Source organism: Homo sapiens, chromosome X (genome assembly GCF_000001405.40).
Source record: "Homo sapiens chromosome X, GRCh38.p14 Primary Assembly".
Lineage (NCBI taxonomy): Eukaryota > Metazoa > Chordata > Mammalia > Primates > Hominidae > Homo > Homo sapiens.
This window is the reverse complement of record NC_000023.11, coordinates 14,508,256-14,529,531: the sequence shown is the minus strand read 5'-3', so window position 1 is coordinate 14,529,531 and position 21,276 is coordinate 14,508,256. Positions and strand designations below refer to the sequence as shown.

General features: G+C 36.6%; 1 protein-coding gene across 4 annotated transcripts in view; it reads right to left on the bottom strand.

Moving 5' to 3' along the window:
• The window catches only part of GLRA2 (glycine receptor alpha 2), a 283,034-nt gene that overhangs the window by 202,281 nt on the left and 59,477 nt on the right, over positions 1–21,276 (bottom strand). For 3 of the 4 annotated variants that reach the window (NM_001171942.2, NM_001118885.2, XM_017029427.2), the window contains exon 1: positions 13–234. The exons of the other annotated variant lie outside the window; for it this stretch is intronic. The gene's annotated coding sequence lies outside the window, so the exon portion shown is untranslated. Of the gene's footprint in view, positions 1–12; positions 235–21,276 lie in introns of those variants that run through there. 4 annotated transcript variants of the gene reach the window in all.

Sequence of the window (21,276 nt, the reverse complement as noted above, 5' to 3'; positions counted from 1 at the left end):
ACGTGATCTTACCCAGCCTATAAATTTCAGCACTCGGACAGCTCCAAGCTCTGAAGTGCGCATGTTTCCTTTTTCAGTTGCTTGGGGCGGGGGTCGGGGAAAAGCATTCAAGAGGGGACGTGCCTGCTGTTCGAAGGCAAAGAGTGACTGGCCGTTCAGCGAGGGGATACTGAAGGGGGTACGATGACAGCAAGAGGAGAAGAGAGGTCGGGAGACGGAGAGGGTGAGGGAAGTGGGGTCTGAGCTCCTGGAAATGCTAGGCTGTCGGTGGGTGGGCGGGACGGGAATTTGAAGCAGAAAAGGGAAGGGAATAAGGTTTAATCGTGGGAAAACGAAATTGGGGGAAACAGAGAACAGGATTCAGAGTACTGAAATTATAATAAGGGTGTGGACAGTTCACTCTTTGTCAGTGCAAGCCGGAGGCAAAGAGGAGTCCTGTGCCGAAGAGAAGGGAACATTTCCTTGGCACAGAGAAGCCCGCGTGCAGAAGAAGGTTCATGAAGATCGATAATTTAATTTAGAAGTCCTTTATGCCTTCCTCGCCTTTTTAATGTTTTCATTTGATTTTAGCCGCCTAGTCCCAAAGGATCTCTCTACCTCTGTACTAGGGAAAGCCCCTTCCAACTGAGCTTTCTTCAGTGGCTCAAAATCCTTGGGCATCCGCAAGTCACAGATTTGTAGAAAAGGAAATGAGACAATGGGCCGGCAGGGGGCAGTAGCAATCTTTTCTTGCCATGGTTAAAGGTTAGAGCAGGGCTCCATGTTAGAAATGGAGCAAGGAAAAGTGCAACTGGGAGTTTAGTTCATCTGCCCATTCCAGATGTTAATCACTAGGAACAGTCATGTAATAAAGTGCATATGCTATTCTCCTAAATTGGCTAAAGGGACTGAAAATAGTGGAAGTTCATAAATCTGTACAAAAGTCTGACGAGTAACCCTGCTATTTCAAATCAAAATTACAAATATTATTATTAATAAAAAAGAGGAAGGGTAGATAGTCCAATGCGGATAATTAGCAGCTTCTGGGAAGGGGGAATGAAAAATGCATGTCCTACCATAAGCTAGGAGAGTAACCTACTTTTTGTGGAATATTCCTTGTTAGTCACCTATGTGCTTTACTGGAGGTCTTAATTTTAAAACAAAATAATATGATTAATTTTTACTCCGTAAATGACTAACTTTGGATCAGTTTAAATATCATAGTAGAGTAACAATGAATTCTATGTTTTTAAGAAGTAGATTCAGAGAAAAAAGATGGCAAGTTCTTTTTACCTTTTAATGTTAATATAAATCACCAGAGGATCTTATTGAAATGCAGATTATGATCCAGTAGGTCTGGGGTGGGGCCTGAGATTCTGCATTTCTAAGAAGTTCCTAGCTGAAGTTGATGCTGCTTGTCCACAGTTCACACTTTGAGTAGCAAGAGTCTATATGCCCTTTCATAAGATGTCTATCCCAGTAAGACAGTGAAAATACAGGAATCTCTTTTTAGATGAAATGCAGTAGTGCCCAAGCATTCTATTTACATACAAAATCAATTCTTCAAATATGTTTTCTTAACTTTCAAAGCCTAGAGAAAATGATTCAATTTAAAAGAAAAACAGTATGGTGTAGTGTGAGACATCCCTGGACTGCAGCTTCAAATCTGTTCACTTCCAAATTCATCCACATGGAAACTCTAGACCTGATTTTATCCCTGCTGTCCTGACCCAAAAAAATATATAAAATCAATTCCTGGAAATATTTCTTCAATTGGTTCTACATGGAAAAATAGCACAGATTTTTTTGTGTTCAAGATTCTTTCCAAAAGAAAATTAGGTATAAAGATAGAAGAAAATTATTTCTCTCAAATTTAAGGTTGTAACGATGCTTAAATAATATAGTCTTTGTAAATCATTTCTCTTTTTTTTTTTTTCCCGAGATGGAGTCTCACTCTGTCACCGGGCTGGAGTGCAGTGGCGTCATCTCAGCTCACTGCAACCTCCACCTCCCGGGTTCAAGCGATTCTCCTGTCTCAGCCTCCTGAGTAGCTGGGACTACAATCACATGCCACCATACCCAGCTAATTTTTGTATTTTTAATAGAGACAGGGTTTCACCATGTTGGCCAGAATGGTCTTGATCTCTTGACCTTGTGATTCGCCCACCTCAGCCTCCCATAGTGCTGGGATTACAGGCGTGAGCCACCGCGCCCAGCCGAATCATTTCTTTTAACAAGAGTTGTGTTATTAACCAGGAATAGGATGAGTAAGGAAATCTGTGACAAAGGAGACTCAGGCCAGCAGCATGAAATCACAGCATTATATTATTGTAGAGTTGTAAGGGACATTAGAGAGGATCTAGTTTAGCCTCCTCATTTGATTTCTCAGCTCTCCTAAATTTGGATTCCAGCCCTATCAATCCACAGAAACAGCTCTCACTAAGTCTGCCAGTGAATTTCTTGTAACTAAGTCCAAAAGACATTTTTCTGTTCTCATCTTACTTGACATTTCCATGGTACCTAATGTCATTGGCCTTTTCTTCCTCCTGGAAACACTTCCCTCTATTGACCCTGTGACACAGTGCACTCCTGGATTACCTCCTATTCTGTCTTCTTGGCAGGCATATCCTCCTCTACCTGGCCTATAAAAGTTGGATTTCCTAAAGGCTATATTCTAGGCTGTCTCCTCTTCTTGCAGTACACTCGCTTAGAAAATATTATGGTAATATAATTTCCATTATCATTTTATGTACATGACACAGAAATGTATATTTCTACCCAGACCTATACATCCAACTGCTTTCTAAACAATTCCTAATGTATGTCTCAAAAGCTGCTTAAACTCTTCATGTCAAAACCGAACTTCTGATAATTCCTCCAACTCCTACTCCTATTCTACTGTGTCTATTTCATTGTTACCAACCAAAGGCCAAGGCATCATCTCCATCATCCACTATATCTAGTTCTTCACCAAGCCCTATTGATTTTTTTCTCCTAAATCTTCTCACTTCCCTCCATCTCAACCTCCATGACCCCAGTTGAGATATCTTTATCTCTTGCCTGTACTGCTGCAGCCATCCTCTTACTAATCTACCTGAACCAACAGCTGGTCTTCTACTACCTCATCCTGTATGCTGAAACCAGAGTGATTTGTTCAGAATCAGAATCTGATTATGTCACAGCCCCTGGTTAATACTATGGTTCTCCATTGATATTTGTGTAGAACAAGGAAACTACTCAATGACCTAAAGGTTCCACATGGTTTGGCCCATGCCTACATTGTTCCTCATCTCATCCACTAATCATCTCATTTCTTCCCCTGTAGCCATATTGGTCTTTTTTCTTACTCCCTAATGCTTACCGTATTGTTCATGAAGTATATCATGTCCCCCATCTTTGTCTGGTTAACACCAGCCTATTTTTCAAATCTCTGGAAGGCCTTTCCTGACCTGCATTACTCTAACAATTCTATTACAGGCCTTCATAGTGCTCTCCAACTCTGACTCAAGGAGCTCGTCATCATTGTATGTATACATGTGTATGACTGTTTGCTTATGTAGCAAGCTTTGCAATGGACAGAGACAGTACATGCTTTGGTCCACCATTATATCCCCATACATTCAATGATAATGACAATCATCATAATGGTATTGATGATAACTAGTATATAATTTTAAATATATACCAGAAATTTGTGGCTTAAACAAAATAATATAAGTACATATGTATAGTCCACAAATAGTTCTTTCAAAAAACTACTTGTTAGGGAATTAACAAGTTAAGATCTGTGATTATTTGAAAGGAAACCAAGTTCAGTGGCGCAGCAGTCTAAAGCATAAAATTAAATTCAAAGTAAGAGATTATTAATTCAATATCCTTGATTCGAGTTCTACCTCTAACACTCATTGGTTATGTGACTGGACAAGTCATTTAATCCCTCTCAGTGTCATTCTCATAATATATAAAATTTATATAACATAAAGTGTTACATAATTACATAAACACATATGTTACATAAAATATTTCTATGTAGAATACTCTTGAAAATCACGTGAAATCAGACCTGAGGATGTGTTTTTAGAGTCTTAATCTCATTTACTTAATTTATTTAATCTCATCTACTTACTGTTAAAATTCATGTTTTAACTTTGTTCATTGGACAATTCCACTTTCAAGGACAGTAAGATTTAGGAGCTTTGAAAAGGTTTTATTTGCAATGCAATGGAAACTGAAGTCTAATTCTCCTATGCCTCTAACTTACCAAACTGTAACTGGTTGAGGTATGTGGAAACCTTATTCTGTACTCTTTTTACAAGAGAAATGAAAAGATTGTGACCCATCCTATGTCATAAGGACCAACACACAATATTTGGTCTATATCATGCTACATATTAAACTTTAAAAAATAGATATAAAAAATAAAAACACTTTTCTTAACATCAGTATCATTTACTGATACTGATAAACCTTAAGAACTCTAACATATACATAATGCTTTATAGTTTTCAAAATACCCACATTATATGGCAGAAAAATAATTGATATCTATATATTTTAATGAGGAATCTATAGTTTGTGTAAGTTTATCAATTTTCTCAGGTCTATATGATTAAGTGACAGTCATACTTTTTATATTTACTACCCATCAACAAAATTATTTCTCATTACGTGTGATTGCTGTTATTTTTTAAGTCACTGAAAGCCTACTATATGCCCACAACTACTTTAATAATTATGTTTTTGTGATTCCATTACATTAAACTTTGGTTACTATTATATTAAGATACACACACACACACACACACACACAAATATGTTGAATGGAATGCCCACATTAAGAGTCTCAGAGTCAATTTCCTCAAAGAAAGAGTCAAAAGATATCCAATATATCAATATCCTGTGTCAGGACTTTTACTGAACGGGTTTCCTACAGAAAAAACGTCCTCCTCAAGTACAGACATTCTTTCCTCCACTTGAAAATATGAAGAAGTTAAGAAAAGACTATTAATTTACAATAGACACCCACCAAATAGAGGTTTGAGGCAAATTAGAGAAGGCAAGAAGTTGTTTTTACCAAATCTTTCGTTGTTAGAGATGCTTTCCCAGAGAACAATAAAGACAATTTCACCTTGATAAAATGCACCTCCTGAATTTTATGAGAGATTTGTCTCAAATAGACTCTCTTCTCACTATAGGGCCATAGATTAAAATAGATTTCTAGATGAGAAGACCTCTGGCATGAGGATGCATGGCCATTATGATATTTACTAAGCCATATGGCTTGTGATATCAATATTAACGATTGCCATTTCTTAACTACCTATAATATTGTATTAGAGTTCTCCAGAGAGACAGAACCAATAGGATATGTATATATAGGCATACCTTGTTTTATTACAATTTGCTTTATTGTTTCACAGATATTGCATTTTTTACAAACTGAAGATTTATGGTAATCCTGCATTGAGCAAGTCTGTTGGCACCATTTTTCCAACAGCATGTGCTCACTTTGTGTCTTTGTGTCACATTATGTGACTGAATTGCTGCAATCTCATGATAAAACTTGAATGGATGATGAGTTGCTTCTTACGGACAAGCAAAGAAAGTGGTTTCTTGATATGGAATCTACAGCTGCTAAGGATGTTATGAACATTGTTGAAATGACAACATTCTCACAATCTTTCAAACTTTTTCATTATTATATCTATTATGGTGACCTGTGAATGGTGATCCTTGATGTTACTACTGTAATTGTTTGGGGGCACCATGAACCACACCCGTATAGGATGGCAAACTTAATCGATCAATGTTGTATGTGTTCCGACTACTCTACTGACTGGCCATTCTCATTTCTCTCCCTGTTTTGGGGCCTCCCTATTCCCTGAGACACAACAATATTGAAATGAGGACAACTAATAACCCTACAATGGCCTTCAAGTATTCAAATGAAAGGAAGAGTCATATGTCTCTCACTTGAAATCAAGCTAGAAATGATTAGGCATAATGAGGAAAGCATATGGAAAGCTGAGATAGGCCAAAAGTTAGGCCTCTTGCACAGACAGCCAAGTCATGAATGCAAAGGAAAAGTTCGTGAAGAAAAATAAAAGTGCTACTTCTGGGAACACATAAATGTTAAGAAAGTGAAACTGCGTTATCGCTGATATGGAGAAAGCTCAAGTGGCCTGGATTGGAGATCAAAGCAGTCACAACATACCCTTAAGCCAAAGTCCAATCCAGAGCAAGGCCCCCAACACCTCTTTTCAATTCTATAAGGCTGAAAGAGGTGAGGAAGCTGCAGAAGAAAAGTTTGAAGCTGACAGAGGTTGGTTCATGAGTTTTCAGTAAAGAAGCCACCTCCATAACATAAAAATGCAACGTGCTCGAGTAAGTCCTGATGTAGAAGCTACAACGAGTTATTAAGAAGATCTGACTAAGATCATTGATGAAGGGGGTTAGCGTAAACAACAGATTTTCAATGTAGATGAAACAGCCTTCTATTGGAAGTAGATGCCATCTAGGACTTTCATAGCTAGAGAGAAGTCAATGCCTGGCTTCAGTGCTTCAAAGGACAGGTTGACTCTTTCGTTAGGAGGTAATGCAGCTGGTGACTTTCAGTTGAAGACAATGCCCATTTACCATTCTTAAAATCCGAGGGTCCTTAAAAAGTATGCAAACTCTACTGTGCATCTGCTTTATAAATGGAACAACAAAGGCTGGATGACAGCTAATCTGAACATTTAGGTCCACTCTTGAGACCTACTGCTCTGAAAAAATATTCCTTTCAAAATATTACTGCTCATTGACAATGCACCCAAGGGTTCTGGTCACCCAAGACCTCTGATGGAGATGTAAAAGGAGATTAATGTTTTTCTCATGCCTGCTAACACAACATCCATTCTGCAGTCCACAGATCAAGGAATAATTTTGACTTTCAAGTCTTATTATTTAAGAAATACATTTTGTAAATCTATAGCTGCCATAGACAGTGATTCCTCTAATGGAGCTGGGAAAAGTAAATCGAAAACCTTCTGGAAAGGATTCACCATTCTAGATACCATTAAGAACATTTGTGATTCATGAGAGGATGTCAAAATGTCAACAAGAGTTTGGAAGAAGTTGATGCCAACCATCATGGATGACTTTGAGAGGGGTTCCAGACTTCACTGGAGGAAGTAACTGCAGATGTGGTGAAAATAGCAAGAGAACTAGAATTAGAAGTGGATCCTGAAGATGTCACTGAATTGCTGCAAACCCATGACAAAACTTAAACGTATGAGGAGTTGTTACTTATGGATAAGCAAAGCAAGTGGTTTCTTGAGTTAGAATCAACTCCTGGTGAAGATGCTGTGAACACTGTTGAAATGACAACAAAGGATTCAGGATATTCCATAAACTTAGTTGATAAAGCAGCAGCAGGGTTTGAGAGGATTTACTTCAATTTTGAAAGAAGTTCTACTGGGGGCAAAATGTTATCAAACATCATTGCACCCTATAGAGAAATATTTCATGAAAAGAGGAGTCGATCTATGTGGCAAACTTCAATATTGTCTTATTTTAAGAAACTGTCACAGCCAACCCAACCTTCAGCAACCACCACCCTGTTTAGTCAGCAGCCATCAACATAGAGGCAAGACTCTTTACCAGAAAAAAGATTACAATTCACTGAAGGCTCAGATGATAGTTAGCATTTTTTAGCAATAATGTATTTTTTAAATTAAGGTATGTGCATTATTTTTAGACATAATATTGCACACCTTAATACACTAAACATAACTTTTATATGCACTGGGAAACCAAAAAATTTGTATGACTCACTTTTTTATTATATTCACTTTATTGCAATGGTCTGGAACCAAATCTACAATATCTCTGAGGTATGCCTGTATAGATATATGACAGAGATTTATTGGGGTAATGGCTCATGCACTTATGGAGACTAAGTCCTGTGACCATCTGCAAGCTGGACCATCTGCAAGCTGGACACCCTGATGCTGGTGGATGGCTCAGTCCATGTCCAAAAACCTCAGAACCAAGGAAGCAAATGGTGTAATTCTCAATCTGAAATTAAAGGCCTAAGAACCTGGGAGAGGGCACTGATGCAAGTCTTGGAGTCCGAAGGATGGAGAGCCTGGAACCCTGATGTTCAATGAAAGGAGAAGTGTGTCCTATCTTCGGGAGAGAGAGAGAGAGAAATGAAGTTGCCTTTCCTCTGCCTTTTTGTCCTATCCAGGACCCCAGCCTATGGAATGGTGCCCACCACATTGAGGATGGATTTTTCCCACTCACTCCACTGACTCATATGCCAATCTCCTCTGGAAACACCCTCCCTCACAGACACACCCACAAATAATGCTTTACCAATTCTCTAGGTATTTCTTAATCCAGTCAAGGTGACACCTTAAATTAAGCATCACAAATATCTCAGGGATCAGGTAGAGAGTCTCTCTCTCAAAGTGAGACCTCTGAGCTACCACTGCAGAGTCCACAATGGCTCTTGACTTTCATGGCCAGTGATTGGCCCATATGTCCTTTATTTCCTTGCATTGGTTATATTGGAAATCAAAGGCATATTAAAGAGCCCACTCTGTTGGATTAGATAAGTTGTTAGAAGCATAGTAATAAAAAATGACGAAAACAAAGCATAGTTTCTGTACATTGATTTGTGCAGGCTGCTACAAGCATTGGTACTGATGAATTTAAAGCTGTTTTCAATGGCCAGCAATGTCCATAGAGCAAGAACACTTAGAGCTGATGTCACTCTGCATTTACTCTCTCTAATTTTCAAAAGTCCAGCTTGCTTCTCTCCTTTTTATTTTGCAGAAGGCATAAAGATGCCCATCATGCAGAGAGACAAGCTTCAAGGACATGAAGCCTAAATGGGAAATCACTGCTCTTCCAGGCTCCATGCAGGCAATTGGATGTCTGTCCAGAACATTTCTGGATTAAATTGTTTAGAAGTCAGAAAAATTATTTTAGGACTGGAGTTCTGCTTATTAGTGTTCAATGTTCACAGGCCATAAATGTGTCAAATGCTTGAAACAATTTATATTTCCAGTGATGATTCATGGCAAGTGATTGCTTCCCTGTTGGCTAATGTGAGAAATGCAGCGTTTCTTTTCATAAACATTAACAGGACAAACAGTAATTTGGAGAATAAATAAAATGTAATTCCACTTGGATGCATTAGAAAGATTTCTCCTTTGCTACAATTCTAAAGATGATAATAATGAATAACAATGAGATTGATTGTTGCAGTAGCACTTGTCTTAGAATCTTCTAGGTTTTGTTCTGCCACTGATGTGAAAAATCCCTTGACATCACCTTCGTTATCATGATACCTTCGCTGAAAATGTATTTTGGGGAGTTCTCACATTTGAAACTTTTGTTATTGACTTCATGAGTATCTAACCCCCATTCCATAAAATGCCTCTTCTGGATTGCCTTGGATTCCGAGAATGCTGAAAAGAAGCTGAATTTGGAAAGAGTGAATTATTTGAAGTTGAACAATATTTTTATATTTGCAAGTAAGTTAGCATTTTGTAGCTGACATGGAATTACATTCATTATAGACAATGATGACTTTATTATTTTGAAGCATAATATAGATGCTAACTCATTAGTGCATGTGTACCCAACAGTCCTATACCAATCAACCAGTCAACGAATATTAGTTAGGCATTTACTTTATGCAAAATACTGTTATTTCTTTGAAGATTAGACAAAGTAATATGAAGCATTATTTCTTCTTTGTAGGGACTTAAGACCTATCTATATGTGAAAATAAGGAAAATAAATATTATGAAAGTGGGGCTCTAGGTTACAGTATCTAGGGAGATCAGCTTACTGATACCCAAGACGTTTCAAAATGTGGCATTCATCCACGTATTCTTCACAGTCTAAATCCTGGTTCTTAGCCTTGCAGGTTTATAAAATTAATCTTGTTAGAGCCTCAAATATGTTATTAATCAGGAATGTGACATACTAATTCTATAATACCTAATAACCTGACATATAAGCCAGAATGAAAATATAGCCACTGGGCTGCCAAGTAACCCATAGGCCTGGGCAGTGTGTAAGCTTCCTAGGTACATGCTGCCTTGGAAGGTTTCATGATAAACATGACATTAGAATAATGGGATCTGACTATAGTTGAAATGTGAAAAAGCTGTGTGAAACCTATATAAAGTAGACTGAGGATGTCACCTCTAACTTTTAAATACTCATTTGAGAAACTGAATATTTACATCTGTTCCCATTACTCATTTCTTGGATTGGGATTTATCTCTCAGACTTCTTTTTAAGCTTCATTTTTGATTAAGTTCACCACTAATTGAAATATTCATTGCATTTTGAAAATGGCATATGATGAAATATTATACACTTACACAAATGTGTATAATACATATAAATTATATATAATAATAAAATAAATTGCCTTGTAGCCACAGATAACATAAGACACAAAAAATCACCAATACTTCTGAATCCTACTGAATGGTAATCTATTACCTGATCTCCTTTTTTTTTTTTTTTTTTTTTTTGAGACCGAGTCTGGCTCTGTTGCCCAGGCTGGAGTGCAGTGGCGCAATCTCGACTCACTTCAAGCTCCGCCTCCTGGGTTCACGCCATTCTCCTGCCTCAGCCTCCCAAGTAGCTGGGACTACAGGCACCCACCACCACACCTGGCTAATTTTTTTTTTTTTTTCAGTAGAGACGGGGTTTCACTGTGTTAGCCAGGATGGTCTCGATCTCCTGACCTCGTGATCGGTCCGCCGTGGCCTCCCAAAGTGCTGGGATTACAGGCATGAGCCACCGCACCTGGCCACCTGATGTCTTATGTCAGCTTTCATACTGAAAAATTTTCTTAGCATTTTGTTTTCACACACACACACACACATACACACACACACAGTTTAATTTCTCATGTTTTAGACAGTACATAAATTGAATGAGAATGTATTCTGTGATTTAGGTCAATATTATGTAATTGTACATATCAAGGATTCATTCCTTTTCATGCTGTATTTCTCCATCCTTTGAACATTACACAATTTCTTTATCTGTTTCACTGCTGATGGGCTTTGGATCATTTCCAGTTTTGTGTGTTTTTTGCTATAATAATGCTGCATAATATTCTTATACATTTCTTCTGTTGTACATGTGCAAAGTTTCTCTAGCATGCATATTTAGAGGAAGAACCATTGGGTCCTAATATATGCACAGCTTCCATTTTATTAGAGGATGCCAAGTTGTTTTCTGAAGTGTTATAAAATTTATGCTCTTGCCATAATGTAAAAAGGTTATAACTAAGTAAAAAAGATATAATTTTATATCTTTACCAACACTTGGCCTCTTCAGACTTTAATTTTTGCCAACCTGGACAATGTTAAATAGTATCTCACTGTGATTTTGGTGTACATTTATCTGATTACTAAGGGTTCAGTACCATTTCAATATGTTTACTGACCATTTGTGTTCCATCTGTGAAATACCTGTTAATTTTTTTGAAAACTATTCAATTAAGTTGTTTCCTTTGTCTTCTATATGTATAAAGACTATTTTATAACAATGCTTTGCCAGTTTATGTCTTACAAATATTTCCTGGTTTGTGGCTTTTCACTTTCTTGATCATATTATTAAAATAAATTTTATAAATCAAATATTAATAAATTTATAAACTTTATAAATAAAATATTATTGGTAACATTTGTTAATCTTTCCCCTTATGGTTTTTACTGTTTTTATCTTGGTAACATTTATTCATCTTTTTCCTTATGGTTTTTACTGTTTTTATCTTAGAATAGAAATATTTTTCAATACTGAGATTATGAAGATGTGTTCTTATATGATCTTTGATATGGTTTGGCTGTGTCCCCACCCAAATCTCATCTTGAATGGTAGTTCCCATAATCCCCACATGTCATGGGAGGCACCCGGTGGGAGGTAATTCAATCACGAAGGTGGTTATTACCCCATGCTCACTCATGATAGTGAGTTCTCACAAGATCTGATGGTTTTATAGGGGGCTTTCCCCTCTTTGCTTGGCACTCAGTCTCTCTTCTGCCACCATGTGAAGAAAGACATGTTTGCTTCCCCTTCTGCCATGATTGTAAGTTTCCTGAGGCTTCCCCAGCCATGCATAACTGTGAGTCAACTAAACCTCTTTCCTTTATAAATTACCCAGTCTTGGGCAGTTCTTTATAGCAGCATGAGAATGGACTAATACAATCTTCTAATGTTTTTAAAATGGCACATATTTAAATAATTAATACCTAGAGTAAATAGTATCTCTATTAGTTATCTATCTTCATATACTCATAGTTGTTAATTGATGTGCATAGATTATATATGATGCAAAAATTAGGTGCTCTTGTTCAAAGAGTTTGAAAATTAAAATGCCTTATAATATCAACATAGCATGTTAGACTACAGATTTGCAAAGAGATACAAGGGCTACTAATTCAAAACATCTTGACTGTTGATCTGGTAATGTATGGTTGTGTAATAAACTATCCAAAAACTTACTGGCTTAAAGCAATAATTTGTTAATATCTTTCATGATCCAGTAGATTGAGTGGGTTCATCCAGAGATTCTTGATTGGAATCTCTCTAGCTGTTACATGGAAGCTGAGGCTTGAGTCATCTGAAGGTTCAACTGGACCAAACTTCCAAGATGGCTTGCTTATATGACTGGTATTTGGTACTGGCTGTTGGATACTGAATAGGAGTTCACCTGGGACAGTTACAAGAGGACCTACATGTGGCCTCTTTCTGGAGGTTGGGCTCCTTATGCCATGGTGCCTGGGTACAAGAAGGTACATCCCAACAGTGAGCATTCCAAAAAAACAAGGAAGATGCTGCTACAAGGCTTCATATGACCTAGCCTTGGGAGTCATGTAATGTCACAGTTTCTTGCATTTTACTAGTTATGTATGGCCGGCTCAGTTTCAACATAGGAGGAGACTTCTCTAGGGTGTGAATTCCAGAAGGTACGGTTCACTGGGGCATCATCTCTGAAGATTAGTTACAACAGTTAGGTAAAGGGATGGCTAGTATTAATATTTGCAGAGAGAGTTCTATGACATCATCTAATTCAAGCAAGAAATAAGATTAAATAGATTGAAAAACCTCTCACTACAAAACATCTAAATTTTATGGATAAAATGTATGTTTTTAAAAACAAAGGTGAATTGGCCATGAAGAAAAATTCTCAGAGGTCCAAAACAAGAAAGCATAGATTTAGAGTAAAATTTAAATGCTAAAGACAGATTAGCTTAGAGTACCTTTTGATCCCAGACACCTATGACTTTAGTTTTAATGCACATTGGTGTGGGAGGGAGGGGATAATAGAGAAACGCTAGAGCCAAGGTAAGGTGGATAATCTATTTGAAGACCCTCTACTATATGAGCCATGAAGTGTGCTATACAAAAGGAGGGATAGCAGGAAACATGCATATTCAAAACTTGACTCTAAATGGAACTTAAAAGCCTCTGAGAGTTTGTGAACAAGGGAAAACATCATGTAGGTTTGTGACTATAATTAGTAGTAACTCTATGATCCAAACACCTCAAACCAAAAATTTATTTAAAGTTATTTTAAGTTGGTGATCCCAAGTATCTCTGATAGAAGCAATGAAAATTCAGTTGGGGGAAACAAATTTCAACACACATCTCAAGGTTTTTCTTCAGCTAAAGTTCTAATGGATATGATTTGCAAACACAAATCTCAAGACACATGGCATAACAAGGACCTCATGAGTAAGAGCCAGGAGAATTTTTAATACATGTATTAAATATGTCTAACAATTACAAAGGCAAAGAATGAGTAAGAAACAAGTGACTCAAAAATAACCAAATAGAATATCTAGAAATGAAAAGCATAATAATTAACATTTAGAAGTCTAACTATTTAAAATAATATTAGATTTAACTTATAAGTATTGACTTGGAAGATAGACCAAAAGTTCTATTCAGAAAATAGCAGACAGAGACAAATAATTTGGAAACATCAAAGAGAAGTTAAGAAACACCGGGGATAGAAAGACAAGATCTAACACGTATCAAGTGGGTGATTCAAAGAAATAACAGCAGAATTGATTTTTAAAGAGGCAATGGCTAAAATTTTTCAAAATTGATTTAAAAAAACTGGGATCATCAGGATTAGGAATTCCAATGAAATTCAGGAAAAATTCTGAATATCCACACCTAAATACATTGTACTGAACGTGAAACTTAAAAGCTAAAGACAAAGAAAAAACCTTCAGATCAGTTGGAAATAGATTTTTTAAAATTACTAGGTGACAGTTGAATGGCTGAATTATCAGCAATAATAACAGGACAAGAAGACAGTGAAATGACTTCATATACTCAGGGAAGGTAACTGCCAACATAGGATTATATATCTGCAAAGTTATTTTAAAAAACAAAACACGAGTGAAATAAATATACTTAACAGACAAAACTGAAATTCTTGCTACCATTAGAACTCGAGGAAGGGAATAAAAGAAAAATAAAATAAGAGTAAAAGACTATTTCAGGAAGAAGAAAAATGCTCTCAAGATGAAAGTATAAGATGCAAAAAAAAGTGGTAAACATAGAAATTGCTATACAAATGGGTAAATATAAACAGTATATAGCATATTAATGGGTTTTAAGGCAAAAAATGAGATTTTATTAGGAAAGGCAAGGATTGTACACAGATTAATCTGATTAAAACTATACTATGACACCACACTGGAATAAAGCAGAAAGAAAAACCAAGGAAGATGAAGACAAGTAGAGAGAAAAATAAAGGGAGTAAAAAGTTGAAGGGGCCTCCTGAGAAGTTTTCAAATGCTAAAAAAAATTGTTGACCAGAATTAACATTTTTAACTGGAGAATTAAAGAATCTTTCTTTCTCTGGCTTTTCTCCCTAACCCAAGGCTTGCCTGGTATTAATCCTACTCCAAAACTCTCTACCACTTTAAAAAGGTGTTGCCAAATAGAGAAACAGGTTCTCAGAGTCCAAGATACTGGAATTATTTTACCTTATATGAGAATGTTAAATGACAATTTAAATGTTGTCTTCAGCAATTTAAGCTCCATTTCCTTTTTCTTTTTTGTGCCTTTAATGTTTCTTTCTCTTTTCTTTTTTTAAAAAAACTTATTTTTTATTTCCATAGGTTTTTTTGGGGAACAGGAGGTGTTTGGTTACATCGGTTCTTTAGTGGTGATTTCTGAGATTTGGTGCACCCGTCACCCAAGCAGTATATACTGTACCAATTTGTAGTCTTTTTTGCCCTCACCCCCTCCCACCCTTTCCCCCGAGTCCCCAAAGTCCACTGTATTATTCTTAAGCCTTTGCATCCTCATAGCTTAGCTCCCACTTATGAGTGAGAACATATGATGTTTGGTTTTCCATTCCTGAGTTAATTCATTTAAAATAATGGTCTCCAACTCCATCCAGGTTGCTGCAAATGCCATTATTTTGTGCTGAGTAGTATTCCATGGTGTATATATATACCACAATTTATCTACTCATTTACTGATGGGCATTTGAGCAGCTTCCATATTTTTGAAACTGCAAATTGTGCTGCTATAAACATGCATGGGCAAGTATCCTTTTTGTATAATAACTTTTTTTTCCTCTGGGTAGATGCCCAGTAAGGGGATTGCTGGATCAAATGGTAATTCTACTTTTTGTTCCTTAGGGAATCTCCACACTGTTTTCCATAGTGGTTGTATCAGTTTAAATTCCCACCAGCAGTGTATAAGGGTTCCCTTTTCACCACATCCATGCCAACATCTATTATTTTTTGATTTTTTGATTATGGCCATTCTTGCAGGAGTAAGGTGGTATTGCATTGTGTTTTTGATTTTAATTTCCCTGATCATTAGTGATGTTGAGCATTTTTTCATATGGTTGTTGGCCATTTGTATATCTTCTTTTGAGAATTGTCTATTCATGTTCTTAGCCCACTTTTTGATGGGATTGTTCGGTTTTTTTATGCTAATTTGTTTTAGTTCCTTGTGCATTCTGAATATTAATCCTTTATCAGATGTATACATTGCAAAGATTTTCTCTCACTCTGTGGGTTGTCTGTTTACTCTGCTGATTATTTTGCTGTGCAGAAGCTTTTTAGTTTAATTAAGTCCCATCTATTTATCTTTGTTTTTGTTGCATTTGCTTTTGGGTTCTTGGTCATGAAGTCTTTGCCTAAGCCAATGTCTAGAAGGGTTTTTCTGATGTTATCTTCTAGAGTTTTTATGGTTTCGGGTCTTAGATTTAAGTCTTTGATCCATCTTGAGTTGATTTTTGTATAAGTTGAGAGATGAGGATCCAATTTCATTCTTCTACATGTGGCTTGCCAATTATCCCAGCACCATTTGTTGAATAGGGCAGGCGTTCTTTCCCCCACTTTATGTTTTTATTTGCTTTGTTGAAGATCAGTTGGCTATATTTAGCTTTATTTCTGGGTTCTCTATTCTGTTGCATTGGTCTATGTGCCTAGTTTTAGACCAGTGCCATACTGTTTTGGTGACTATGGCCTTATAGTATAGTTTGAAGTCACATAATGTGATGCCTCTAGATCTGCTCTTTTGGCTTAGTCTTTCTTTGACTATGCAGGCTCTTTCTTGGTTCCATATGAATTTTAGGATTTTTTTTTCTAGTTCTGTTCTGAGAATGATGGTGGTATTTTTATGGGAATTGCATTGAATGTGTACATTGCTTTTGGTAGTATGGTCATTTTCACAATATTGATTCTACCCATTCATGAACGTGGGATGTGTTTCCATTTGTTTGTGTCATCTATGATTTCTTTCAGCAGCGTTTTGTAGTTTTCCTTGTAGAGGTCTTTCACCTCCTTGGTTAGGTATATTCCTAAGTTTTTTTTGCAGCTACTGTAAAAAGGGTTGAGTTACTGATTTGATTCTCAGCTTGTTCACTGTTGGTGTATAGCAGAGTTACTGATTTGTGTACATTAATTTTGTATCCTGAAACTTTGCTGAATTCATATTTCAGTTCTAGGAGTTTTTTGAAGAAGTCTTCAGGGTTTTCTAGGTATATGATCATATCATCAGCAAACAGTGACACTTTGACTTCCTCTTTACTGATTTGGATGCCCTTTATTTCTATCTCTTGTCTGATTGCTCTGGCTAGGAATTTCAGTACTATGTTGAATAGAAGTGGTGAAAGTGGGCATCTTTGTCTTGTTCTAGTTTTCAGGGGAAATGCTTTCAACTTTTCCCCATTCAGTATTATGATGGCTGTGGATTTGTCATAGATGGCTTTTATTACCTTAAGGTATGTCCCTTCTATGCTTGTTTTGCTGAGGGTTTTAATCATAAAGGGATATCAGCTTCATTTTCTAAAATATGACAAACCAGCATATCTCCATCTCCTTTCTGGACAGCCATATAGGGGCCATAATTCTAAAATACATAAATGGTAGGAATTCTTGCCAAATGGTTGATGGCTGTACTAGCAAAGAAATGGGTGGAATCTCCATCAACAGTGCTTTTCAAAAAACATGTATATCTTTCATAAACCCACTTATCCTCTTACAGGCCTGTGCGGCTATGGCACATGGTATTAATTGGAACATTCAGAAGATATATATTAAAGTTCTACCTCTTCTGCTTACTAGCTATGCAGTCTTACACAAATTAACTCTCTGAGCCCCAGTTTAGTAGAATGGGAAATAATACCACTTTTCTTCTTGACCATCCTGGTTGTAGCAAGGATGCAATGACACGGATTGTAGGGCTATATAAACTTCAAAGACTCCAATAAATGTAAGTTGTTATTCTTGAATAAATACTTTTCATTATCACAATCACATGAAGCTATTTATGTAATAACCTCCTTAATTCTAAAGAGATGATTATAATTTGTTTTCAACTTTCACATTAATTTAGGAAAATAGATAAAAAGAGATGCATTTTCAGTGATGATGAATAGTACATGCAAAATATATGTGAATGAAGAAAACAAGATTCTATTATTTTTCAGCTGAGCAATTATCATATGAGCCTCTGGAGAGAAAATCTAATTCAACTTTTAAGTTACTAACTTTAGTAATTCTAAGCATGTTTAACAGTCATGACAAATGACTTAGATAAATTGCTAAATATGAATAAAGGGAAGAATTCTATTGATACAAAGGAAAGGTATTCTAGTCAGAAAAAATTTAAAGGGGGCTTCAGATAATTTAATGTACATATAAGACTAAGTCTGTGGAAAATATTGAATTGTGTTTGCTTCTTGACTAGCACACCAAAAACATAATCAACTAAAGAGATTGAAACAAGTGAGTAATCATTTCTCTTTCTCCTTTTAAGGAAAACTATTTCTGTTAGAGTTTTGAAAGCCTTAAAGATAAGGCCAAATAATATTACAAAACTAAATCAGGTTTTTGCTAAATACTAGACAAATCCAGTTGTATAGGCTTTTATCATATAGTTAGAAAATAAGCTTTTCTATTTATTTACACTCTGGGGAGGGATAGCATTGGGAGATATACCTAATGCTAGATGACGAGTTAGTGGGTGCAGTGCACCAGCATGGCACATGTATACATATGTAACTAACCTGCACATTGTGCACATGTACCCTAAAACTTAAAGTATAATAATAAAAAAATAAAAATAAATAAAAAAAAACCAAAGTGTTATAAAGGAGGGATGAATGTAATTCTCAGTGTCTTGTCTACAAAGTAGCATTGATACTAATAAGAATGAGAAATGGGATATGAACAATGGATGACAAATCATTTTCTTGAGTCTCCAGAAGCCACTTAAGTATTAAAATAAAATGATGCCATAATTCATATTTTGTGCCATGAGGATATCAAAAACAATCTGACTGTGGACTTCAGACTTTTTTATTCTGTTTTGTTGAATAGACCCATTTTCCCCAGGAATATGTCCCTTCACCATGGAGTTCCAGCTCCTTGCATCAGGATGGTACACTCTTACTTTCCAGTTATGTCCTACAGTCTATTCTGTTTCTGGTATTTTTTCATCACCAAGGGCCCATGACTCCTGAGCACTCTGTTTTCCCCCTTTGTCCCTCCAGATTCCCTCTCCACCTTTCATCCTGCTCTATACCTCTGGGGGCCAATGTTAATGGACTGCAAAAATTAGGCTTCATTGACATTTGGCTTACAATTCAGCTCAGCCAATATAAGGTACCAGCAGGAGTTGAGAAGGAAAGACAAATTGGGGTATTTATTTCACCAGCTTCCTCCCAGCTCAGCAGAAATTTGGTGGTGGCTTTGTCCTTCTGTTGAAGGCCACAGTTCCTGAAAGATGACTCTCTTCTATCGCTACAGCTCTTCCTAGTTTTCAGTGATGGTTTTCTACTCCTGTGCTTTTAGACCTAGGACAGTAACGGCTCCCTGCTATTGTTGGTCCCTGGGTGTTTTACCATCCCTAGTTTTCTTCCCTTAATTTTAACCACAAACTTTTATATACAGTCCCTTTAATAAATCCTCTCTAATTTACCCTATTGGGTCCATCTTGTTTCCTGCCAGGACCCTTTCCCACATAAGCCTACCACTGCCTATGAGATAATCTTTAAACTCTTCTCTCTGATTTTAACTCACTTTGCTATTTGTCACCTTCTATTTTTGCTAGCTGTGAGCAAACATTACTTTCCCCTCTTCTAAATGGAATCACCTCTAGCACACATTTTTTCTGCTCTATTATGCCTTTGCACTTTACTATAAACTCAGGTATAATCATTAACTTAGGTGTAAGATACATTTCATCCAAAAGATGACAAAGAAATTCATTCTTCACACTTCTCATAGCATCTAATCCAGGAAGAGACACTAGTTAGGAGCTGGATTTGAAATTTTAATTCATTATTCCTTGATTTGTTTCTCTTCCTTTCCAGCCTTCGTTAATTTCTTTCCATTTTAACCTACGCCTTCATCCCTATTTTTCTCTTGGCCTCAACTTTTACAACACTTTAAGCCCTAAGCCCCACTTTATGAAGCCACTACATTAGATTATTGATGTCAAATCAAGGAACTCTGAGTTTATGAGTCTGAAAGTCCTTTTCTTCCTCAATATAACAAAGTCTGAGTCTTCCACGCCTCAGGGCACAATACAGAGCTCATCTAATTTTTGGTTGTTTTGCTGATCAATGAAAGGTGGTCCGTTTTCTTGGAAAATGTTATCATGTTTACTTAAACTAAACACTGTTGTTAGTTCTGTTACTGTATTACAAATATTCAAGTGAAGGAAGCTCAAGGGTAATATAATACATGAAGCTGTTGGAACAGGGAAGATAAAGATAAGACTAGAAAGAATTTTTAGAATCAAATTTCACTTTGGCTTTATTCTTCAATCTATTACAGTAATCTCTACTTTTGTATCCCTAAGGGCTAGCTTAGGTTATTTAAGACAAAGCCAGAACACATTCCATAGATGAAGACAGAGAAATGGAAGCCTTCTTGCCCACAGTAAAAGCATCCAACTTTATCTTCCTAGTAGTAAGTTTAAGAAGTGCCACTATACATTCCTTTTTAGAGAGGAGTGAGAGAAGTGAGGGGTAACACAGCCTCAGTGAAATCTGGGGAGTGGGTGGCCTAGATTAGATATCCTAGGGCCACTCTAATGTGAAAAGCATGACATTTGTTTCTGGTGTCATCTCTGCAGCAGGCTGTAGTAGGATGAGCATGAACTCTGGAGTTAGACAGCTTTGTGTTTGAATCCTGGTTCTACCATTTAGCAGAACCAGGTATCCTGGACCAAACCAATGACAAAACCATGTTTCTAGAGGTATTCTATAATTGGTGACCTTGAAATTCATTTTTTTCATTCAACAAATATTTGATTGAATGCCTACTGTGTTCCAGGCCCTATTCTAGGCATGAAGTGTATTAAAAATGGAAGTAATATGAAGTCCCTAATCTCAAACAATTTATCATGATTTTGCAGGTTGGCCTTCTCTTCAGCCATCAATTGACCCTAAAAGTGCTAGATGGCACAGTGTCCCTCCTGTGTCTATAGGCACTCATGCAAAATGCACTAATTAAATGTCTCCATAAGGACTGTGTGCTGCAGGAATGGCCCAGTGCCAATGCCTTGAAGTCTGTGCTCCAAATGCCACTCTTGTCCTCAAGCTAATGGATAAAGTGACCACAGCATACATTTAGAATTGATTGTTTTCTTTAGATTTAATCAAGCCCTCCTCTCCTCCGCCAATGAAAATTTTAACGTTTTCTTTCTACTACAGTCACTATACCTTAACATGAAAAGAATTAAATTTTCCTCTCTGACTTTTAATTATCCCCTGACAGCTTTGAG